The sequence below is a fragment of the Homo sapiens genome, chromosome 13 (genome assembly GCF_000001405.40).
Source record: "Homo sapiens chromosome 13, GRCh38.p14 Primary Assembly".
NCBI lineage: Eukaryota > Metazoa > Chordata > Mammalia > Primates > Hominidae > Homo > Homo sapiens.
This window is the reverse complement of record NC_000013.11, coordinates 111219819-111245782: the sequence shown is the minus strand read 5'-3', so window position 1 is coordinate 111245782 and position 25964 is coordinate 111219819. Positions and strand designations below refer to the sequence as shown.

General features: G+C 42.3%; 1 protein-coding gene across 60 annotated transcripts in view; it reads right to left on the bottom strand.

Annotated features, from left to right (window-relative positions):
- Nucleotides 1–25964, bottom strand: part of ARHGEF7 (Rho guanine nucleotide exchange factor 7) — a 191116-nt gene that overhangs the window by 59952 nt on the left and 105200 nt on the right. For 56 of the 60 annotated variants that reach the window (XR_007063704.1, XM_047430722.1, XM_006719956.4 and 53 more), the window contains 3 exons: nt 12490–12578; nt 1817–1911; nt 1489–1584 (listed from right to left, as the gene is read on the bottom strand). Coding sequence is in view for 59 of the 60 variants with exons in the window: in XM_047430722.1 (XP_047286678.1) it covers nt 1489–1584; nt 1817–1911; nt 12490–12578 (280 nt within the window). In the remaining variant the exon portion in view is untranslated. Of the gene's footprint in view, nt 1–1488; nt 1585–1816; nt 1912–4446; nt 4610–12489; nt 12579–25964 lie in introns of those variants that run through there. The other 4 variants (NM_001354055.2, NM_001354061.2, NM_001320854.2 and 1 more) reach the window with 2 other exon arrangements.

Genomic DNA, 25964 nt, shown 5'->3' with positions numbered 1-25964 from the left:
GAGCAATTTTCTTATTCGAGTTCAAAGTAAGTCGTAAAGCAGTGGAGACAATTTCCAACATCAACAACGCATTTGGCCCAGGAACTGCTAACAAACACACAGTGCAGTGGTGGGTCAAGAAGTTTTGCAGAGGAGATGAGGGCCTTGAAGGTGAGGAGCGTAGTGGCCGGCCATCAGAAGTTGACAACGACCAAATGAGAGCAATCACTGAAGCTGATCCTCTTACAACTACACGAGAAGCTGCTAAAGAACTCAACGTTGACTGTTCTACAGTTGATCGGCATTTGAAGCAATTTGAAAAGGTGAAAAAGCTCGGTAAGTGGGTACCTCATGAGCTGAGCGAGAATCAAAAAAATCATCATCTTGAAGTGTCATCTTCTCTTATTCTACACAACAATGAACCATTTCTCAATCAGATTGTGACATACGCCGAAAAGTGGTTCTTATACGACAACCAGCTCAGTGGTTGGACCGAGAAGTTCCAAAGCACTTCCCAAAGCCAAACTTGCACCAAAAAAAGGTCCTGGTCACTGTCTGGTGGTCTGTGCCAGTCTGATCCACTACAACTTTCTGAATCTCCACAAAACCATTACATCTGAGAAGTATGCTCAGCAAATCGATGAGATGCTTTGAAAACTACAATGCCTGCAGCCGGCATTGGTCAACAGGAAGGGCCCAATTCTTCTCCACAACAGCGCCTGACCGCACGTCACACAACCAACACTTCAAAAGTGGAACAAATTGGGCTGTGAAGTTTTGCCTCATCTGCCATATTCACCTGACCTCTCACCAACCAACTACCATTTCTTCAAGCATCTCGACAACTTTTTGCAGGGAAAACGCTTCCACAACCAGCAGGATGCAGAAAGTGCTTTCCAAGAGTTTGTCAAATCCTGAAGCACAGATTTTTACGCTACAAGAATAAAACTTATTTCTCACTGGTGAAAATGTGTTGACTGGAATGGTCTTGATTAATAAAGATGTGTCTGAGCCTAGTTATGATTTAAAATTCACAATCCAAAACCACAATTACTTTTGCACCAACCTAATATGTTATTTCTAGAAGCACTGTATCTGCTTCTGGAAGGCCAGAAACAGCAGGCAAGCTGCAGGATATTGGGGAAAGACCTGGCCTTCAAGGCCCCCTGCGCAGCACTCAGGGCACACAAGGAGCTGAGCCACTTGTCCCCTCAGTGGTCCTGGTGTCAGGCCATTCTCCTTTCTCTCCCAGAGGCTCTTCATCCCGACTCTTCCTCCATGGAACACCTTAAAAATCACCATTCTTGAGTCTTTCTCTGAAGATTCCTGCTATACAAACTAGACAGTCTAAAATACAGCTTTTACTGTAAAAGCTGATTTACCCAAAAGATTTAAAATAACTTAAGTTTGCATCTTTAGAAATGTGAATTCTAAAATTACTTCACACTTAATCCTTTAAATACCAATTATACCAACCTGAGTGTTGCAAATTTTTAGCATCTTACTTACTTGGTGCATTCTTCTAAAGACTGTACGAGCATTTGCTGGAAAGAACATATTTCTTCTAGATTTCCCATTAAATATGAAATGTTTGCTGAACTTAACCTAGAGCCAAGAAAAATAACAGTAAACATATGTAAACAGTTTTATTTATATTCTTCTCCTTTGCCATCCCAATGTCCTATTGAAGTCTTAACCTAATAAACAGCTGATGTCTAAGGCAAACTGGTACACTAAATTTTGTTTCACTATTTAACCCTCTATTCTCTGAAAATAGAAGAGAACAGCCTAAGGTTTAGACTATTTTACAGTTAATGCAATTTATCATCTAACTTACTTCTCACTGGTCTGCAATGGCCGTAGGTACGTTGAAAGCACAGTCTGAAGTTCTTTAGAATATTCATTTTCTGTTTCTAAAATATTCTGTAGCACCTATAATAAATGATGAATAAGTGTTATTTGACATTTCAATTGCTATTTGACACTAAGATTTATACACTTTGGACAGTTCATCGCCATTGTTCAATTCACACTGTTACTTCTATGTAATACTAAAGTGTTGAGTATCATCATCATTCTTTGCAATTATTGACTGTTAAACCCATGTAATGAATTATTACTAAGGCCATACAACTGACTTTATCTTACTGCCAACCGTATCTGACAGGTATACCTAGCATGAATTCCATCATCAGATGCCATGTCTGTTTAGATAAAAAGGAGAAGCCGCCAAGAATCACAACTGCATGGACAAACAGATCAATCTCTACGACACTGTGTGGTGCAAAAGAAGCCATTCCCAAAAGGACATCCTGCATCATCCCATTTGTATTAAGTCTAAGAGATGACAAAACTAATCTATGGTGACAGAAATCAGAGAAGAGGTGAAGGGTAGGATGGGGGCGTGGACAACAAGGAAAGGAGAATGACGTAAATGTCTAAGGTGATACATAGGTTCTGTATTTTGATTTGGGTAGCGGTTACAACAGATATATACATTGTAAAAGCTCACTGGACTGTGCCTTTGAAATCTATGTATTTTAACATATGTAATATTACTCTCAACTAAAAAAACAGTTTACTCTTTAGATTGCATCTAAAAATTGAAATCAATTTCTGGGAACTACAGACTTTCCCTAGTGAATATGACAGTCTCAGACACCTTATTACCACATTTATTAAAAACTAAAGGTTTATCAATGTTAACAATCTTTACTACTTCATTTAAAGATAGCAGAATAATTATAAATTAACCTTAAAATTAAAATGTTTCCCAATACCCTGTACTAGTGTAGCAAATTTAGCCAAAATAATTTAAGTCTTAAAAACTGACAGATAAATATAAAGTGCAAAACTGATGAAACCAAGTAGGAATGCTTTCCACCAGCTATCACTGCAGCAAAGGCCCAGCCCAGGGTGGGACGAGAAGGCACCTGGATGTGAACTGCAGGTGCTCCTCGCACTCCTGGCACCGAGCAAGGGGCTCTGCACACAAAACTTTTCCTCTTAGAGAAGCTGACTTCTCCCAACTCAAACAGCTGAGAAAAGCAGAGCCAGACAGCGGCCCCAGGTCCTCCTGCCACTGCACCGCACCACACTGTCTTCTTTGGCATGAGACTGAGGAGCACGCTGAGGATCCTGAAGGACCTGACGTAAGTGAAGAAAGTGGAATCCCTGCCTCCATTCTTTTTCACCCGAGTCTGTTACAGAGCTAGTGCTTTTTAAATCAGGAAATCACATTACACGTATTTTCTGCGCATCTAGTACATGCATCAAGATGTGCTATTTGTCTCCCAGAGCTAACAATACATTCTCACTTATTCATACAAAAGAAATTGTACAGAAGTAATAAAGATATTAAACATGCTCAGTCTGTCCCCATCATTTTTGATAATCCAAATGTAAATTTAAACATTTAAGAAAAAAGTCATCAAGTTAAATTTAAATTTCAGCCTTAGTAAAGACAACCCGGGTCGTTACTCTGTTTGCCTACTGTTGACTGTAAACTCTGAGAAAGGAATACAGTCATTCCTGAGTAAATGCAAATCTGATTAAATCACTTACTAAACTACTTGGGCGAAAAAAAACAGAGGCTCTTCCACTGGTGACAAGGAACTCAGGCTCATCCCTGAAGGGATCTATTCAAGGGAGACGACCGTGGGAGAGCCAGAGCGAGGGGCCCTGCAGGGAGCTGGCTCTTCATGGGAAATGCTGACCCCACAACCACAATGTCTTCCTTCTACGAAATTCCCGTCGAACACAAATGTCAAAGGTCTGGTGAGCAGAGGTAAACCGTGATGCCAGCCACCACACCCCAGAGACGCTACTCGAAACCAGGCCTGTCCTCCAGAACAACAGGGGAAGCCAGCCAAGCATAATGAGATCTTGAGCTAAATAAGATGAAATAAGATCTGTCACAGACGTATCAGAAAAGTCCTTTTCAATGTTAAAGATAGGAAATATGATTTAGCTTCCTAATTACAAATATTGGATACCAACTTACCAATACTGCTCACTGCACACCTGAAGACCTATATACTTATTTTCAAACAGAAAAATGTTCCTATGTGAGATAAGAAAGCAGCCACTAGAAACTATCACTAGCACGAATATGAGAAGAATAAAATACAATGACCTTTTGTCCGTCACAGCACTAAGCGCTGGTTGTAGAAATGAAAGCTTCCCATAAGCACCAAAAACTACTTGAAAGAGCCCTCTGCCAAAAAGCTACATTTGTTAAAATAGTTAAGTTGGTTAATTCAACAAATAGTCTTAAACACTATTTTCAAATAGGGTGCTAAACACAATTCCTGTATTACTCCCAACCAAACAATGCAAGTTACACTTAACTTTTCCTCAAACACACAGCCAGGCCTGGCTCCCTGACTCCAGCTGGGGTGCCCACTCCCTCTGCCAGGAGGTTGCTGGCCTTCCTGACCTCGGGGCGCAGCCGGGGGTGCCACTTACCACCTTTCTTCCCCTCCTCGTCTTCTGCACGCTCTGGCTGCTGCAGGACCCCATGAGACCTCACAGCCTGGACGCCACAGCTCCATCCCACCAACGCTGGGAACCCAGAGGACGCAGGCAGTTTTCAAAGAAAAGGCAGCTTTTACGACCCACAGTGCTGAAGAAAGGCCCACAGAGCTGAGCTCAGCCAGTGCCAGCTTCCCGGGGGTCACGAGGCATGGAGAGGCAAGTGCAGTCAAACACTGGTGCCACTCAATCCCTATGCTGCCCGCCTCAGAGCACAGCAAAACAAAGAGGACTCACTGCTGTGCCTCGCAGACACAGACACTTTATTCGTTGCATCATTAAAGGAGTACTTAGCATTTCTGATTTTACAAATGGGTTACAACTTCCACTGCCAATCTCGGTAGGTGTTTTATATGTTTATGTCATCAACAGCCTTTAAAAACAAATAACTGATTTACATAAGAGAACAAAGAACATTAATTTTTTTTGTTTCATCTGTATAAAAGATTTTTATCATCATACAACTGTATTTCCATATCCCAATCCTAATGTATAAGTCCAAGAAGAAAAACCAAAAAGTGGCACAATTATTCCAAATCTACCTCCACCCTACCTAATCAGCCCTTCCCTGTCCACTGCTACAGAGAAACAAGATCATCATTTAATGTTCTCCATTCCAGTCTATTTACACTTCAAGTAAATTTTCAAAAAGTACATTACAAGACAGTAGTTCACCACACAATGTGGCCTGTAATAAACATCTGACTCCACGGAAAGGAGGAGGAGGAGGAGGAAGGAGTGTTGACAAGAAATCCCAGAAGCTCCTGCTGGCTCCTCTACGGGTCACAATGACATGAGGCAGTCAGTGGCTCCCCGACCACACGGTTGCTGATTTAATGTGGTGTGTTAGCACTGCTGGTCCTTACCAATACCTCGGAACGTTAGTTCTCAAAAAAAGTTTGGAGAGACCACATAAATGCTTTTATGATGCTGTATCTTTTGAAATAAATGTTATTCTATTACTTTTAAATTTGGAGATTCACAGGTCTTGGGGTACGTTTCTCCTAAATGTTAAAGGTTTATAGGCAATGGCTCCTGCAAAGCCTCCAGCACACAGGGGGAAGCAGACACCACCAATGGCACCTGCACAGCAGCATGGCGACAGGTAGAGCCGGCCTCTGCAGCCACGTGGACCTGGGCTCCCAGCTGCGCTCCACCACTGACTGTCTGCAGCTGGACAAGTCTATCGGTCTGTTTCCCTTTTTCACAAAAAGGGGTTTTACGAGGTTATAATGGTTACTCAAGAGTGCCAGTCATTGGCTTATAGTAGGAAGGCATCTAGCCAGTCACCCTTCGACCTTCCAGCCCAATGTAGAGTCTTACTTGGAGCTGCTTCTTAAATGACTCCTTCAGTCAGGAGGTAATTATTTCACAAGACAGCCTTTCTTGCAATTAAGTCACTCAATCCTCCCAAACACTGAGCTCCTCTCCGTGTCAGCATTCCACTAGTGCCTACCTGACAACCTTCATCTGTATCATCTTAGTCCAGATACAGCAAGGAAATCCCATGAAAAACAATGGGAGCCAGGTGTGAAAGAAGCCAGCAGGCACCTCGCCGCCCAGGAAAAGAGGGGATCCCACAAGCTGCACACCCTCCCTGATACCTCAGGGCCCCTCATCATTAACCATCTCCACCTACGGGCCCCAAGCAGAGACTTCAGGAGTCAAAAGATTTAACAGAAATCTTCATTGAGGTGGAGAAAAGCCAAGGGCAAAGCAGAAGATGAAGAGACGAAGCAACGCCAGGGTTTAGGGTCACTGCTGATGGATGGAGACCGAAGACACCCTGTCACCAGGAGGCTCAGGTTTTCCTCCTTGGCCTGGCATCTGAAGGCCATCGCAAACTAAAGGAGCAGGGAGGAAAAGACAGGTGTGCGGCTTCTCTGGAGCACAGGAAAGGCCCGTGGATGTGTGTGATGGCATCTAAGGATACATAACCGTTTTATACACTTACAGATTAGAAAGAGTGATGCTACCTATTACATTATATTCACAGTATTATAATAATGCTCTAAATAACAGGGAAAGTGATATGGTTTGGCTCTATGGCCCACCCAAATCTCACCCTGAATTGTAATAATCCCCATGTGTCAAGGGCGGGACAGGGTGGAGGTAACTGAATCATGGCACGGGGGTGTGGGGGAGCAGGGGCACGCAGCGCGTTCCCCTATGCTGTTCTCATGGTGAGTTCTCACAAGATCTGATGGTTTTATAAGCATCTGGCATTTCCCCTGTTGGCACTCATTCTCTCTCCCACTGCTTCGTGAAGAGGTGCCTTCCGCCATGACTGTAAGTTTCCTGAAGCCTCCCCAGCCATGCGGAACTCTGAGTCAATTAAACCTCTTTTCTTTATAAATTGCCCAGTCTCGGGTATTTCTTCACAGCAGCGTGAGAACGGACTAATACAGAAAGCCTAAAAAATCAAACCATAGTGTATATCGCTGAGCAGGGAAGGCCATAAGGACTGTGTCTTCCCAGTCAGCGACTTAAGAAACCTCATTCTCTAATGACGGAGCGGGGTGCTCCTCATCCCCCCGAGAGGCAACTCCAGACCATCATTCTCTCCAGCCTAGGCATCCAACCCCTTCCTTTGATCCCCATCAGGAAAGATGCCAGTCACCATGCCATGGGGGCAACGAGTGTGCTTTCACTGTCAAATCCACCAAGCTCGGGCACATCAGGTCACAAACCTGTCTCTTTTAATTATATGATCAGGCCACCTTGGCTACAGCTTTCACAGGTCACCCTCAAAATCTACGGGGATTCCAGTTTACAAACAGAATGGTATGGTGGCCTCAGTGATGCCTTCTGTTCCCAATGCTCTTAAATACTCTTCTTAATACACACAAAAACCTCTAAGGTCCAGCACTTTGCTGGAGGCCTTAAGGCCAGTTGCCAGTCCACTTAATACTACCAGGTCAGGGCCAGCATTACCAATCTCATTTTACAAATGAGATAACTGGGCTCAGGAAGCTAGGGCCAAAGCTCCTGGCCACCCAGGCTAAGCAGCATGGACGATTCAACAAAAAGGCTGTACACCTTCCACTGCATCAAGCCGCCCGGATCTTAATTATCTGAACTACCTACACAACAAGGGCACCCTAAGCACAGCTAACAGACTGATTTCAAACAGTACGTACATGAGAAAATAGAGGCAAGAGTAGTGGCTGGCTGTGTCACAAAAACTAATTGAAATTAAAAGATCTGCATTTAAGAGATCTTGATTTCCTCTCCCTTCCCCGTCACTCTCCAAGCCCAAGGCCTGTGTGCCTGCCATGTTCCACGCTGGCTTCCTCCCTAGCCTCAGAGGCCCGTTTCTATCTCCAACACATTCTGGACTGTGGTGCCAAAGACTTCCCCCATAATCACTATCCCTTACATTAGTGGGAAGCTAAAATTCCTCCACTGGAAAGAAACCATTCTCTAGCACAATGTCTTCTATCTTCTATGTCAACTTTGTAATACCATGAGATCATATCACCTGTGTAATTTCATATTCTGTTATTGCACTTAACATGAAAATATATGTTTTTTGTATTTTTAAAGCCTCATGTACACTTTAGTAACTACAAATGGACAAACCACTGATCGCTTAATCATTCTGGTACTGTTCATCTCATACTGTTTATTTTGGGTTGCTTGCAATTTATTACTATAACAAATAATCCTCTGAAAATGCCTTTACACAAGCATCTTTGAATATATTTCAGGTTAATTCTCTGGAATGGATTTCAAGAAATTTAGAAATTAAAGAGAAAGCCCTAAATTAAAGAACTTGATCACTTCCAGAATTCTATATATAACTGCCATATTACTTTTGAGAAACTCTGTATGGATTTACATTTCCACCATTAGAACTAAAGATTCTCTCTTTAAATCTCTGCTCACTGATTACAGAAAATATGCCTATTAAAATTTTTATGGTGAGTTTAACTATTTTTTTTCAAAGCCTTAGTGTTTACCATTTTTTAAATTGTTCACAACCTTTCCCATTTGTCTATTAATCTTCATGTATTTGTCTTAATGAGCTCTTCAGACATTAAGGATAACCTTGTATTATACCTGATGCAAATAACATTCCAATTAACTTGTGATCTGGCTTATACTGTTTGAGGCAAGGAATATATTAAACTCTCATTAGGTAGCCTAAAAGATTTATCTTTTCCTTTGTCATTTCATCCACTGCCTTTAACTTTTAAAAAGTCATGCTCCTCCCCAGCCCTCTCTTTGAATGCATTCCCCAACCCCATACAGATCACTGGCAAGAGTGAAACCTCACCGTCAGAGGTGTTTTTTGGTTTTTTAGGGACACAATCTTGTTCTGTAGCTCAGGCTGGAAGTGCAGTGGTGCAATCATAGCTTACTGCAGCCTCAAACTCCAGGGCTCAAGCAATCCTCCCACCTCAGCCTCCCGAGTAGCTAAGACTACAGGCATTTGCCACCCAGCCCAGGTAATTTTGGTTTTTTCTAGAGACATGGTCTTGTTATGCTGCCCAGGCTGGTGTCAAACTCCTAGCCTCAAGCAATCCTCCCTACTAGGCCTCCCAAAGTGTTGGGATTACAGGTGTGAGCCGTAATACCTGAACTGTTAAAGGTGTTTAAGCACAATCTTTGGTGAATCTTTGGCTGAATACTAAATTATGCTACCCAAAAGTGAATCCTAGAAAGACAGAATTAAAAATAAAAACAAGAATAAAAAAATAAAAATAGACATCAGTGACTATGGGAAGATAAACTACAGAAGTGCTCTAGGTGAGTCACTGAGCAAGACACAGCAACAGCAACAGTATAACCCAGGGGAGGTGGATTTCAAGCATCCAGAGCTGCTAAAATAGGTCTAAGATATCCAGTTTTCAATTTAAAAAATCATAGGACATGCAAGAAAGTGTGACCACACACACACGCACACAAGAAAAAAAGAAGCAGTCAATGGAAACTGTCTCTAGGGGGCACAGATAGTGGACTTAGGAGATAAAGGTTTCAAAGCAGCTGTTATAAATATGTCCAAAGAACTAAAGGAAACTATGTTTAAAAAATTAAAGGACAGTATGAAGACAATGGCTCAAATATTGTCTATATTTGACTAATTGCACCACAGGAGTCCCAGAAGGAGAGGAGAGAGAAATAGTTACTGAATGGTTCATAATAACAGACATAAATTACTACGAGTTTTACTTTCCAGTGTCTTTTTGGTGTTCATCTTAACTATTATACAATAGCAGGAAAACACATATCCATCCCATTCATACCTGTCTCATTGTCTCTTAATTTCAAAATGTTGGTACTTTCGCATGGAATACTCTTCTCTCAACTCCATTATACTGATCCCAAGTTAAGACAAGTCATTCATGTAAATTTCCTTAACACCATTGGTCCACACCAGTCTTACCCTTTAGTAAGTTTTCAACTTTCAGTGAGGTTAAAAACACCCAGACCTTATAGTTTTCTGTGAAAACGAAACTACAAAAGGGGGTGTAGAAATGCCTAACACATTATCTATCATGTTTTGTTCTGTGTTGTATTCTGTTCTCTATTTTTATGTACAATTTACAAATATAAAATTAAGGAAAGCTGAAATTGATTCCTGGCTTAGTAACCAGTGTATAACCTTGGACAAGGCATTTAGCTTCTGTTTTCTCTGCTGTAAAATGAGAGTACTACATCAAAAGACAATTCTCTATGAATTCTATGAGTTTATTTCTATAACAACTGTAATTTTACCATGTGCTATTTATAAATGCAGCTTTATATAGAAAACAATTTAGATGTGATTTTGAGGTCAAGGTGTTTTCCATCATTCTGTATGAAAGAGTTGGCTGATTTGAAGAAAAGAGCACTTATAATACCCAGGCTATTCTCTCTGTAAAAGGACAGTTAGAGAAGGAAAACGAAAAAGGTATCGACTATGCTTCAATCTGAGAAGTATTACAGAATATATAATGCAAAGAAAAACCCACCAGGATTTCTAAAAAAGCATGGTTGCCTGGTTTTATAAAGTGCCTAATGAAAGCAAGATTAATGGAGAAACTAAAGAATGCCCTTGGCACCAATTTAAACACTGCTGACCACTTTTTCTAACAGAATTATCTGGACCTGAACCATAACAGAAGGTAACACACCCTTTGGAATCTCACTGTGGATTGTGGCTGTGTTATTCACCACATGAAGCCTTCCCCAAAAAAGCAGTGTCTTATACAAGAATGCAAGAGGAAAGGGCAGCTCCAGGAGTTAAAACTCAAGTTTTCCTACAACCCATAAAACCCATCTACTGTCTCTGTAGCTACGTACACAAAACTACACATAAGCTACATTACACACTAAAAAGCGAATGGGTTAGTAGAGCCAAATCCTGGGAGTAAATGCCCAACAGGCCAAGGGATGAAGGCGATGCAGAGCACTAGGAGAGATGACAGAAAGCAGGTGTCTCGGGTAATGTGGGCCACACGACGCGCTAAAAGGAGTCTGATCTTCTCAAAGTCCACAAAGTTGAGATGGAAGGCAGAGTCCAAGCAGCCAAATGAAGATGAATGAAAAAAAGGGAAGAAAGAGGGGAAGCAAAAGAAAAGGGTTTCCAAGGCAGAAAAGGATCCGGAGTTGACCAAATACAAGGAAAAATAAGTCAAAGATTGCCACTAATGTAAGAGAAGTGGCATGATGCATGAGGAGACCTGCTCACAAGAAGGTGCACAGATGTCAAATTATGAAAAAGAAGCAGTAAAAATGGAGGCAACAAAAGACCATTGTGTTCCCGTACCCAAGTGCGAGCTCAGCGAGGGGAGAGGCACCCGCCATTCTGTTCACTGTGCATCCTGGTGCCTTTAACAGAGCTGCACAGAGCAGGCGCCCAATAAACAGTTATTAATGAGTGGGTCCCCAGGCCAGTCTGTCCTGCAGTACGATGCTGGGGCAGATGGAAGGTGGGCACTCAGGAGGAAGCTGAGAGTGCAAGCCCCGCAGCACAAGACGGTGGCACAGCTCCACGTGGTGGAGCTGCTCAGACTCCATTGCACCACACCTTTTCACCGTTTCCCAACACAGGTGCAGAAAATGAAATGCTCACAAGAAAATGACTGCTGCACAAAAACACCAATCAACTGCTGTTTCACACCAACAATTCAAAGGTCTCGTGGGTTCATAGTTATATCTACTCAAGAAGAAAATGAAGATTGGGAGTAGGGGAAGAAATAACAAAACAAATGCGCATTTTCCCCAGAATTCAAAACATACACATGTTTAGAGGGTTTACTTTGTTGTTATCATGTTGAGTGGTTTAAAATTTTAATAAATTCTTTAAAATAAATTATTTTCCATTTCTATAGAACATGCAATTGCTACATAAGCTTAGGTACAAAGAAGGTTTAGACGACACAGATTTAGTACCATGAGACTATACATTTGATTTAATAGCATTAGACTACACAGATTTAGTATCACATACTGAACATATTAAGCAGCAAATTTTAGGATCCAGAAACACCTGTCTTTAACACGTATAGCGTTTAGACATGCTCCCCTAATTCTACGCCATGTGATATGTACACATCAATCCTGGGAAACACTATATTAAGAGAAAAAATAAATTAGAAGCCTTATGTCTAAAGTACTTACAGTCTACTCTGAATACAAACAGAATGGCACTCAATGCATATAAAATTTTCAAATCACATTATACATTTTTTCAAATATCATTTTTGAAGACTGGCTATGGCATGGGGAAACACGCACATTACTATGTTACGGGACAAGAGCAAGGGACATTTCCATATACATGATATTAAAACAAAAACATACAATTACAAAAATACAGAGATTAGAAGGAAACAGACCAAAACCTTAATGGTGGTTACATTTGTGTGGCAGATGAATGAACTTTATTTCCTTCTTCCTATTCTAGGTACTTTACACTACATTCTACATTGCTGAGTTTTACAGGCAGTCAAAAACCAGTTAGTTTAAAAATGTTCTGCAATTACTCACCACATTGTAATAGCTTTTGTTTATGGCAGTCGTATCAAATCCTTTGGGAGGGCTCTTCAGTGTTCCTGATTTGGGAGACACAGGCTTCTCTGAAATGAAAATGTAACATAGTTTTACTGATCAGTACTAAAGATGACAAAAGTTCCAGCCCCTCACACAGGCCAAGGATACTCATCCAGCAGCCTCACTGAATTAACAAGCCAAATGGCAAGCCAAGGAAAAGGCCATCCACAGTGACCCTCAGTGCCCCAGAAACCCAGTCCCTCAGGCTCGGCTCACCAAGGCCAATCACAGCACCCCATCCCCACCCTGTTCTCCCAGTTTCAAGTTGAAGGCGTCTAAGAGACTGCTCCACGAATGCCAGCCAAAACCAAAGCAGTTTAGCTACAAGGACAATTCCATAGTGTGGTAAATATAAAGCGTCACCCAAATAAAAGGCATTTTGGCAGATACATAACAATATTAAAACATCAGGGCTAAAAGTTAGGGACTCAGATCCCTCAGAATGGAAAAGTCTCTCTAAACAAGCAAGATCTGGCTCAGGGCTTGAAATAACCATCACTCACAGGAGACAAGGAGGAGAAAGAAAAGTCATCTCAAGCAGGGGCAAAAACAAGAAAAACCCACACCGCCTTCACTTCCACACCAGGCAAAACCATTAAAGCAGTCCTGACTCCAGCAAGGATTCTGATGTTTTAAAACAGCACCGCTTTCACTCCACATCCATTCAACACACACTTACTCTGCATAACAGGTGCTGAAGAAACACCTGCCGAAGAAACACCTGCCAAACAAAACCTGGCACCATGCATGCCCGTCATCAGCTCTATGGGGTGGGCCTGTCTACCAATGGTTCTACGGGAGGGGGTCTCTATCACTGGTTCTATGGACAGTGTGGGTGTGTCCATCGCTGGCTGTGCGGGTGGGTCTGTCTCTCCATAGTTCTATGGGGTGGTGTGTGTCTATTATCAGTTCTACAGACAGTGTCTGTGTCTTTACCATTAGTTCTGCAGACAGTGTATGGCGTCCATCACTGGTTCTATGGGGTGGGTCCCTCTGTCTCTCAATGGTTTTATGGGTATGTGTGTATTTCTATTAATGGTTAGATGGATAGGGTGTGTCTATCACAATTCTATAGGGTGGGTCTATCAATGGTTGTGTGTATATCATAGTTCCATGGGGTAGATCTACCAACAGTTCTAGGGGGTGGGCAGATAGGTCTAACATTGATTCTACGTTCTGTACATCTAACATTGGTTCTGTATATCTAACATTGGTTCTACGGATTCTGTTTACCACTGGTTTTCCAGGGCTACAGAGCAGTGTATCAAATTGGGGCTAGTGGGGACAAAGGAAAGGGAGAGGTTTTTTCCCACATTCTTCCCCAAGAAATTCTGATGAGCATTTCCTAGAGGACTTAGTCCCTACCAGTTTTCCCTCAAAGCTCACCTCCACTGCAAGAATCCTGCCATGTGAACCCCCTCACTGGGCGGGAACACACTCCTCCCCTCTGGTGTGTGAGCAGCACCTGCCTACAGTCCATGCCTTCTGCTCTCCTCTCCTCCCATGCGTCCCCCATCCACAATCTCAGTGTCCTGGGGTCTGAGGTAGTATATCCCAAAACAGTGCCTTCAACCCCAAACACTCTAAGGCTTCAGGTCCCTAACGTCAACTGCCTCCTCAGGATCTGCACCATCTTCTGGCAACAGAAACCCAGAATGCCCCGAACCAACCTCATGCTCCTTAACTTTGGATCCTCCTCCTGTGGAGCCGTTTACCTCAACCTTCCTTCAATGCCTCACTGTCAAGTTTCTAAATCTTCCTTCAATGCCTCACTGTTAAGTACTTCCAGGTGGTTGAAAACAACAAAATAAGGTGCCGCTGCAAGTTGCAAGAATTCTCTCTGCCCACAGGATGGAAAACAAAACTCCACAGGAAACAAATCCCTTCTACACTGTAAGAGCTACAAGGAGGAAAACCAATCTATTCTTGCTAGCACACTTACCTACTCAATCTCTTTTCTACAGCTAAGAATTTAATTGTAGAAGAAAACACTATGAAATGTTTTCATCTGAGGAAAAACAACACTTTTTCATCTTTGAAATCTACAATTTGGAGGCAGGATAGAAAACAACATTGCAGGGGAGACTGTCCACACCTCAATCACAGCCACTGCGATCATAAGCCGCACGTCAGCATGTGTGCCGGTGAAGTGAACTTCGTAACAGTGACCCTGAATCTGCATTATTTTAAAAGTAATGATTTTGCCAGCTGTGTTATTTTAAACTTAAGACATACCTCACAACTCAACACCACAGTTAATAAAATTCAATTAATTTACTATAAGAACTGTAAGAAAAAAGTTTTCAAAAGAAAAAGCTTCAGGTTACTAACATTACATAAAAATAAAAAACAGGCAGAAGAAACCCAGTCAAATCAGATTAAGTCCAGGCAGGTTGCCTTTTCTCCCCTAGGAAAAAAGAGCTCCCAATTCTGCTGGCTGCTGAATGGAAGGTGTCAAGATCACGTTCCCCAGAACACCCTGTGGTTCGTTTTCAACAAGAGGGCACTGCTGAAGTGTGCCACCCACAACGTGCCCTTGCTTCCAATCAGGAAGCGTAATTTCCACAAACGCCCAAGGTGGGTCTGCTGTCAGGAGACCCTGCAGGGGAGACAGGAAGCCCCTGGCTGCCAGACCCCAGCAAGGCCACTCCTGGCTTCTGATGCAAAGCTCCTTGCTTGCCCCACCACTGTCCAGGCTCCTGGGGCGGTCACGCCAGAAGAAATGTGCCATCAACAGGAGGGGTGCGGGGCAGCAGGGGCACAGGTAACTCCCGGGCAGCCTAGGAAGCCTTCTAGTAGCTTCTACCAAAAAACAGCATTGAAATTAAAAGAGGCTAAATTACGGCCATTCGTAACAGACAGAAAAGCACACAGCCAGGAAATAGATTAGAAAATACTCAACTGCCCTACTATCCTAAGAAAAGCAGCATTTTTTGGCCCATCTGGTAGCTAAAAATTAATAAAATTCACTGGTATTGAGGAGTGGGGAACCAAGAGAATGTAGCTTAGTGCTACCTTTCCAAGGGCTGACTGGGGCAGCAAGTCTTCCCTTTCTTAAAATAAACTCGAAAAATGCTGAAAACAAGAAAATTTAAATATAGACGTGTAAAAGAAAAAGAGGGGATGACATGCCAAAAGCAAAGAGGAAACCCTCTCACTAGGGGAGGGGAGACACACCTGTCTCCAGGCTCCAGCAGCTGGGGCTACACCCAACGCAGGAAGAAAACAGACCTGCTCCAACCCAAGCAAATAAAACTGGATCCCTTAGTAACCCGCACAGCTGATGCAAAGATGTCTGGAAGCTTCTATGCACTGGTCTAGAGAAATAGCAAGGAAGTGTGCAGGCTGCTCACAGACGGGGGCACAGCCTAGAAGAAACCAAAACCCAGAGCCCGCACCTGCTTAGCAGGACCACTCCAACCTATGCTCTCCTCTTGCAGGACTACCAGTACCTGCCTGGGACAAAAAAGTCTCCGGGAACCCCTAAGAAGCAAATGTTACTCCTCTCTGTAGAAATATTTCTACAACCCAGGGTACACAGGAACCCACCATCAGGAATAAGCCCACCATTAAACAGTATCAGCCACAGAAGGTACTGAGCTACCAGGAGGGTGTGAGTGGATGTGGCATATAAAGGGACCAGGTTCCCCAAAGTAGAAATAAGAGGAAAATCAAGACCTAATGTAATCTGTCGTTTAAAATGACAGGAGAGATACGCAATTAGGACCAATCACGACGAATAAAAAAGGCGCCATGAAGACTGAAAACATCTGAAGCGCAGCAAAACTTCTACAAATAAATATGGTCACTAAAATGGAAATCTCCACAAACAGGTTAGTATCACCGTGAGGAGGGAATTAATGAACTGACAGGCAGAGGAATAGATAATACAGCACAGTGAAACAAACAGATACGCAAAGTAGATTAAAATACGCGGATTAAAACAGAGGGCAAAATAAGACATCTAGTAAGATATTCAGGAGAAAAATCAGGGAGTGAGCTGGAAGTAGTCCTTGAGAAGATCCTTTCTGGAACTGAAGAGCTCTGGATTCCTTGGGCTGAGGAAGCACAGCCAGCCCCGAGCAAAACCAGAGTCCACCAAGACACACAGGAACGCTGCACAGCTGGGCGAGGGCCAGGTCCGGGGAGCCAGGTGCAATGCCCTCCCCACTCCGAGGCAGCTCCACCATCACAGGGCTGGGAATTTCTGCCTCTTTTGAGAAGAACACACTTCTGTGAGTCCTCACTTGCCTCTTCCGCTTGACTGGAAGCCACCCAGCCGCTTCCCTCTGTTTCAGTGGTTACGCTTTCATTTGTGACGTGTCACCAACCCAGCAAAGTCCAGAGTTAATCATCACCGCTGGCTTCAACCACCAGAGCAGACATGGCCCTGAAAAACTCGGAATTCCCACGTCCTCTTCCGACCTTCTGTGCTGGGGCTCTGTGCGTGGTTTGTTGGCTGTTACTCACGCACTCAGAGTTCACAGAGTCAATGTCTGTGTGTGTCTGCCCGTGCTCAGCAGTGTCTGCCTGCCGCTTTCCTGAACCACATGCACCCTCCTGTCAGGTGACGTCCTCCGAGTTGTTCAAGGGATGATCTGCTAAGACGCTCGATCTTTGTTCGAAAATGTTATAATTGTGCCATTACTTTTTCCCAAACTTTTAGAAACTTAAAAATATACATAAACATACAGAGAATGACCACGTATAGACTCTTAACAGTGTTAGCAGTCCTCAGCATCGAGCCTGCCTCATCCGCTCCCGCCGTGTTCTCTGCTGGAAGCACCATCAGCAAGTCTCAGAGATGAGGTCATCTCCACTCACCAACACTTCAGTGTTAGCAAAGGGAGCTTTTCTTCTTTAAACTCAAAACCCTAACCTCAGACCATTATCACACCTGACGATATTAATAATTTTTAAATAGTATCTAATGCCTAGTCTATATTCAGATCTTCCTGTGTGTCAAAACAATGGCTTTCTGATGTCAGCTTATTTGAATCAGGAACCAAATGAAGTCTGCGCAGCACATCTGGCTGCTGTGCCACTAAAGTCTCTTTCATTCTATAAAAGCGCCCCCTCCTCTTTTTTGGATGCCAGTAGAGAGCAGAGAGCACAGACCTGCACGCTTACCTCATGTGCCGTGCAGGACACCTCAGATGTGCTTCATAACTTCTGGGAAGACACTCTTGGTTTTCCCACTGCTGTGTTTCTCAGTTTCCACAACAGTGCTCACCAAAGTAAGTATTTGGGGAATGGATGCTGGGTGTGGCTTTAGAGCCAAGTGTAACTGGTGTAACTGTGAACAACCTTGACAATGCAACAGGAAGATACAGGTGAGTAAAGGCAGAATGTGGGAGGATAGAGAAAAGGGTCAAGGTGAATCTTCACGGAACAAAATGGGGCATCAGGAGGTATCTGCCAAATGTCACTGAAATACAAATAAGACTAAAGCATCTCGTTTAGCACACCAACAGAGGAAACCAACAGAAGAACAAATTAATCACAAAGAACAAACCTAGAAGAAAGTAGGAGGAAGAAGGTAAGTCAAACGGGGTACACAGGGAGACCCTGAAGTTGCTGAGGGCTTGGTTTCAGACCATGGCAATACAGTGAGTCACACAAATTTGTTTCCTACTGCATATAAAAGCTATGTTTACACTATACTGTAGTCTATTAAGTTTGCAATTGCACTGTCTTTAAAAAAAGTACATTCCTTAGTTAAAAAAAAAGTTTCTAAAAAAATGCTAACAATCATCTGAGCCTTCAGCAAGCTGTAATCTCTTTGTAGAGGGTCTTGCCTTGATATGGATGGCTGCTGACTGATCAGTGGCTGCAGAAGGCTGCGGTGGCTATGGACACTTCTTGAAACAAGACAATGAAGTGTGCCAGTATCAACTGATTCTTCCTTTCATGAAAGATTTCTCTGGAGCGTGAGATGCTATTTGGTAGCATTTTACACACATACAACTTCTTACAAAATTAAGAGTCAATCTTCTCAAACCCTGCTACCACTTTATCAACTAACTTTTTGCAACAGTCTAAATCTTTTGTTATTTCAACAATGTTCACGGCACTTCAGCAAGGGTAGATTCTATTTCAAGAAACCACATTCTTTGCTCAGCCATAAGGAGCAACTCTTCATCCATTCAAGTTTTCTCATGAGACTGCAGCAGTTCAGTCACATCTCCAGGCTCCACTTCCAATTTTAGTTCTCTTGCTGTTCCCACCACACAGGTAGTTCCTTCCTAAACTGAAGTCCTGAGGCCCTAAGGTCATCCATCAGGGTTAGAATCAATGTCTTCCAAACTCCTGTTGATGTTGATATTTTAACCTCCTCCCATAAATCACAAATGTTCTTAACAGCATCTAAAGGGGTAAATCCTTTCCAGAAGGTTTTCAAATTACTTTGCCTAGATCCATTAGAGGAACCACTATTTATGGCCTTACAAAATGTATTCCTTAAATGCTAAGACCCAAAAATCTAAATTAATCCTTGACCCATGAGCTGCAGTATGGATGCTGTGTTAGCAGCATGAAAACAACATTAATTTCTTTGTATGTCTCCCTCAAAGCTCTTGGGTGATTAGGTACACTGTCAATAAGCAGTAACATGCTCAAGGGAATCTTTTTTTCCTGAGTGGGAGGTCTCTAAAGTGGGCTTAAAATATTCAGCAAACCATGACACAAGCAGATGTGCCACCATCCAGGCTTTGTTGTTCTAACTTACAGCGCAGAGAGGCAAAGTTGGTTAAGCATAATTCTTAAGGGTACTAGGATTTTCAGAATGGTAAATGAGAATTGGCTTCAACTCAGTCACCAGCTACATTAACCCCAGACCAGAGAGTCAGCCTGTTGGTGTGGCCACCTTCACCGATGATGTCAGCTAGATCTTCTGGATGACTTGCTGCAGCTTCTCCGTCAGCACGTGCTGCTTCACCCTGCACTTTCATCATGTTCTGGAGACGGCTTCTTTCCTTCAACCTCATGCACTAACCTCCATTAGCTTCAAACTCTTTTTCTGCAGCTTCCTCACCTCTCAGTCTTCATAGAATTGAAGAGATTAGGCTTTGCCCTTAAGGAAATGTTGTGGCTGGTTTGATCTTCTATCCACACCACTCAAACTTTCTCCATATCAGCAATAAGGTGGTTTCATTGCTTATCATTCATGTGTTCACTGGAGTAGCACTTATAATTTCCTTCAAGAGCTTTTCATTTGTATTCACGACTGACTGGTGCAACAGGCCTAGCTTTCAGCCTGTCTCACCTTTCTACATGCCTTCCTCACTAAGGTTAATCGTTTCTAGCTTTTTATTTAAAGTGAGAGACATGCAACTCTTCCTTTCATTTGAACACTTAAGAGGCCATAGTAAGGTTATAAACTGGTTTAATTTCAGTATTTTTGTGTCTCAGGGAATGAGTGGCCTGGGGAAAAACATGGGGAATTCCCGGTCAGTAGGGCAGTCAGAATACACACAACATTTATCAATTAAGTCTGCCATCTTACATGGGCATGGTTCATGGCACCCCAAAACAATTCTAACAGTAACACCAAAGGTCCCTGATCACAGATCACCATAACGGATACAATAATGAAAAGCTGTGAAATCGTGCAAGAATTACCCAAATGAAGCACTGGGACAAGTGGGCACATGGTGCTGGAAAAATGGCACCAACAGTGTTGCCACAAGCCTTCCATTTGTAAGAGAAAAAAAAAAAAACAAAAAAACAAGCAAAGTGCAATAAAGTGAGATACGCCCTATAAATCTAAGCAGAGAAGTCTCTGCATACTGTGAAGAGTTGCGAGGCAGCTACGTAGGAGAGGAGAGGAGGTGAGTAACGCCTCTCCCTGGATCAGGGCTGTGGGAGTGGGTGGCCTGTGCTCTTCCCCACATGAGCTCTTCCGTCTACTGGCTATCACATGCTACAAGCATGTGGCATGTAAGTAATACAATTACTTAAGCATAAATGCAAATAAAACTTTTTTAAAAAAGAGAAGCTCTAATACTGGAAGACTAACAACCTGACCCCTAATTACTCTAAGTCAGCTGGTCTATGGGACGTGCTCCTGAAACGGAAGATGTGTAATCATCACCGACAACGGGAGGCAGCCACATTGCAGTGAGGACATGCTCGGTATACCAATCTAGGAAAATATTCACTTTCACACGCCAGAAACATTTCCAAACCATCTACTCCAAGACCCCTTTGTACATAATGCTATAATACGCTCCCTACGCCTGCCTCGGGGGGCCCATATCTTCTAATTTATGTTCTTCTCTCTTGTTTAAAAACAATTACATCTTGAAACAATAGTGCTGAGAGGTCCATCCTGTAATGCAGCCTCATGTGTCCCATCCAAACCCAATCCTCACCGGAGAGGAGGAAGGACTACAGCACAAGCTCACATCCAGTGGCACGAAGGAAGGCAAGGTTCTGGGGTACTTTTGTCCTTTTCCCCGCACAGATTATACTCACATCAAACACTGTTCCTCCACAGCTAAATTAATAACGACATCCAAAATTCAGCTGCGTGTTGCTTTATGTCAAAAATAAGTAAAAAATATTTAAAAGTGACCAACTTAAAAAGTGGCAATGTCGTTAAAGATCTGTGGATCAGCAAATGACAGTCCCATTTAAGCTCTCACATCACTGCCAAACACAGACAGTCATCATCTCAAGCTAACCAGCCCCCAAAACAGCATTTAAAAGAAATGTCTTTACAACAGATAATAAGCTGTCCAGAAATAGGAGAATGACTAAAGTCAGCACATTAGAAATAATCATCTAAAAAAGCCTGAGTCCACATGCACACACAGAAAACTGGTCTTGGAAGCACACAGAGCACGAGGTGTGTTCTCACAGCTGCTAACCGTGTGTGCCACATGCAGCTGAGTGCCTCCACTTCTATCCAATCACAGCAACCACCATCACCACTCACTTCCAGAATGGACCTTGCTGCTTCTCTCCTTAACTTCTCCCTTGAATTTAGGAAATTCTGAAGCAAGGGAGTAAGAGTGAGGGTGGGTGGGTGGGTGTGAAACACAAATACATATCAGCCTGTAAAAAATGCTGTAGACGCTGGCTGCGGTGGCTCATGCCTGTAATCCCAGCACTTTGGGAGGCTGAGGCGGGCAGATGACAAGGTCAGGTGTTCGAGGCCAGCCTGGCTGACATGGTGAAACCCTGTCTCTACTAAAAATACACAAATTAGCCGGGCGTGGTGGCGGGCACCTGTAATCCCAGCTACTTGGGAGGCTGGGGTAGGAGAATCGCTTGAACCCAGGAGGTGGAGGTTGCAGTGAGCTGAGATTATGCCACTGCACTCCAGCCTGGGCAACAGAGCAAGACTCTGTCTCAAAAAAAAAAAAAAAATGCTATAGAAATCCATGGGTTTTACCTAACCAAAAAAGGTGCACAGAAAATAAATGCTAAGTGACAATTATTTACCTTCCATAAGACTGTACTGTACATATTCAGGAATAATATACAATGCTTTTGACACAAGCATTAGAAAGATCGTTATTACAGAATCCTAGAACATTTTATCTGTCTTCAAAGAGGGACTATTCAAACAAGAAATCCTACACCACAGGTTAAAAGCACCAACACAACGGTGAACCTTGACAAGAACAATTCCATCTCCGACCACAAGAGGGCAAACCACCAATGGCTACACTTCCCCAGGGAAGCAGGAGAGGTGAATTGGACCATCTGGTCAATTTATCTGGAGATAAACAGCCTAAAAAAGTGCCATTTAGAGAAAAACTTCAGTTCTTGTTTACTCAGTAAAACTATTTGTACATCAAATTAAAATATAATTCAGAAGAGAAACCCTCAATTTAAAGGAAGTCAGTGTTTTCATGAATAAAGAAATGATCCTAACATGATGGTCAGAGAAGTCTCTAAGTTTGGAACCTGGCACAATTTTGTTTTCAGAAAAATCAAGCACTAATTAACTATAAATCAAAATACATTTAACACACTCTTCAAAAAAGGAAACCTAATTCCAAAATCAGAAAGCCACATAAACTACTGGAAAAAATGCAATATAGCCGCCCACCCTTATCCACGGGGGTACCCACAAGACTGCCCACTGGATGTCTGAAACTGCAGCTATATCTCTGTATATATACCAACCCTATATATACTATGTTTTCCCATCTATACATACCTATGTGTGTTTAATCTGGAAATTAGGTACAATAATGGATTAACAACAACTAATAATGAAATAGAACAATTATAACAATATACTATAACTAAAGTTATGTGAATGTGGTCTCTTCTCTCAAGATATCTTACTGTATTGTTCTCACCTGTTTCGAACCACAGTTGACTGCAGGTACTTGTAACCACATTACGCAAAGCCAGAGGTGAGAGGGAAGTCTGCTGTACTGAATGTAATTGTGATCCTAGAGTTTTATTCTTAACTGCTCTAGAGTAACACGGTAAAAAATGTGGTTTCACACTTGCCTCAAATGCCCACGGTTAAACTCAGACTGGGCTGGGCGTGGTGGCTCACGCCTGTAATCCCAGCACTTTGGGAGGCTGAGGCAGGTGGATCACTTGAGGTCAGAAGTTCAAGACCAGCCTGCCAACATGGTAAAACCCTATCTCTACTAAAAATACAAAAATTAGCCAGGCATGGTGGCACGTGCCTATAATCCCAGCTACTCGGGAGGCTGGGGCAGGAGAATCGCTTGAACCCAGGAAGCAAAGGTTGCAGTGAGCATCACTGCACTCCAGCCTGGGCAACAAGAGTGAAACTCCATCTCAAAATAAAATAGTAAAATAAAATTAAAAATAAATAAACTAAAATAAAACTAGCATGACTTTCCATACAATATGCTTAGGTAATTAGAGAACAACAGGGACAGAAGGTTATTCCTTTGGTTCAACCATCAGATAAAGTTTAGCAAATGCATCACTAATATGCTCAAAAATGACATTTCTTGAATTTTAAAAAATAAACAGGAAAAAAAGGGAAATTTTCCAAAGTTACTTAGGTCTCAGTTTGGCACAAACCCTATTGTGATGGTTAATACTCAGTGCCAACTTGATTGGATTGAAGGACACAAAGCATTAATCCTGGGTGTGTCTGTGAGGGTGTTGCTAAAGGAGATTCACATTTGAGTCCGTGAACTGGGAAAGGCAGACCCACCCTTAAGCTGCTGGGCACCACCTAATCAGCTTCCAGCAAATATAAAGCAGGCAGAAAAACGTGAAAAGGCGAGACTGACCTAGCCTCCCAGCCTACATCTTTCTCCCATGCTGGATGCTTCTTGCCCTCAAACATCAGCCTCCAATTTCTTCAGTTTTGAGACTCGGACTGGCTCTCCTTGCTCCTCAGCCTGTAGATGGCCTATCGTGGGACCTTGTATACATATACACATATACGTACACGTACACATATACATACATATATGAATCCATAGGTGTATGAGGGTTCTTTAGAGGGACAGAAGTAATAGAGGGACAGAACTAATAATATTCTCCTATTAGCTGTATATATAGATAGATACAGATAGATATATCAAGGGGTTTATTAAGGGGAGTTTATTATATATACATGTTATATATATATATAAAGGGGAGATACATATATATATACATATAAAGGGGAGATATATATCTATATATAGATATATATAGATATGTATCTATATATATAGATATATAGATATGTATCTATATATAGATATATATAGATATATATCTATATATATAGATATATATATGTCTATATATATCTATATATATAGATGTCTATATATCTATATATATAGATATATATATCTATATATAGATATATAGACATCTATATATATAGATATATAGACATCTATATATATAGATATATATATAGATATATATATAGACATATATATAGATATATATAGACATATATATCTATATATAGATATATATAGACATATATATCTATATAGATATATATAGACATATATATCTATATAGATATATATAGACATATATATCTATATAGATATATATAGACATATATATCTATATAGATATATATAGACATATATATCTATATAGATATATATAGACATATATATCTATATATATATGAAAGGGAGTTTATTAGGTATTAACTTACATGATCACAAGGTCCCACAATAGGGGGATGTATATGTATATATGTATATGTAGATATATATATATCTCCCCTTTATATATATATAACATGTATATATAATAAACTCCCCTTAATAAAGTTCCCTTCATATCTATATATCTATCTATATCTATATATATAACTAACAGGAGAATACTATTAGTTCTGTCCCTCTAAAGCACCCTAATACACCTATGGATTCCGTGTGGCCCCTGCAAAGAGCTCCTTGATGGCAACACACCATGTACACGCACATACGTTGAAACCGGGCACGCACACACGCTCAGACACGCCTAAGACATGAGTAGTGGCTTCGGGTAGAACAAAGTGAGAGCACTGTTCCTCATGAGAGCCATGTTTCTAAACACGCCCTGCCGGTCCTTTGGAGGGCGTCCTCTGCTGCTGCCAGCTCAAGGGCCCACAGTCCACTCAAAAGCGGGGGCTCACGATGCCTTCCTGTGGGCTATCAGGGGTAACAGCATACTGCAAGACAAATTCCCACGGCAGATGACACTGACGACATTCAAATGTGTCTGAAAATCACTTCCAACTGGAGAGGATTTTGAGATCCACAAACCCCATCTTTTCAGCGTAATTTCCTTGCTCTGGGTTACTTCTAAAAAATCCACAAGGAGAAATACATGAAAAGTAAAACCCCACTCACCTGCACTCTTACTGTGGTGGTTCAGAGTCAGTCCAGGATTCACACTTAAAGGAGGAGTTCACTTAAGAATTAAAGAAAGTCAGAAAGACCAGCTGGAACAAGCGTCTGTCCCTACTCCAAAGGTGCGTCCCACTTAGCAGTTCTGTAACCTCAACTCTCCTTGGCAAAGGTGAGCAACGAACGAGGTCCTCCTTCCTCTGCCCTGGCTCAAGTGTCCTCCTGGAAAGTCCACTGGCGCCACCTCAGGCCTCTCGGCCCAGGGCTGCTCTCATTGGTTCCCAGGAAAAAGATCTCTCCAACTGGTGGGGCTGGGCTAGGAGATGGGCTCACAGGATGGACCGGGCCTGCCCTAGCCCTAGGTCTCCAGGAAGGCTCATGCAGGCCAGTGCCATCCAACTGAGTCACAGACTAAACTGCATCTCCTAACAGTGATGTCTATCAAGTTGACATTTCCACGCCTCAGCATGGTGCCAGTGCCGCGCTCTCAGTGGGCTCTACACATGAACGGATTTTTTTAAAGGATGTCATGTACTTGCAACCCACCCCCTTCTTAATATCCCAGCAATACTTGTCTTCAAGGGTTATGAGGAGAACTGAAGTTGCAAATGG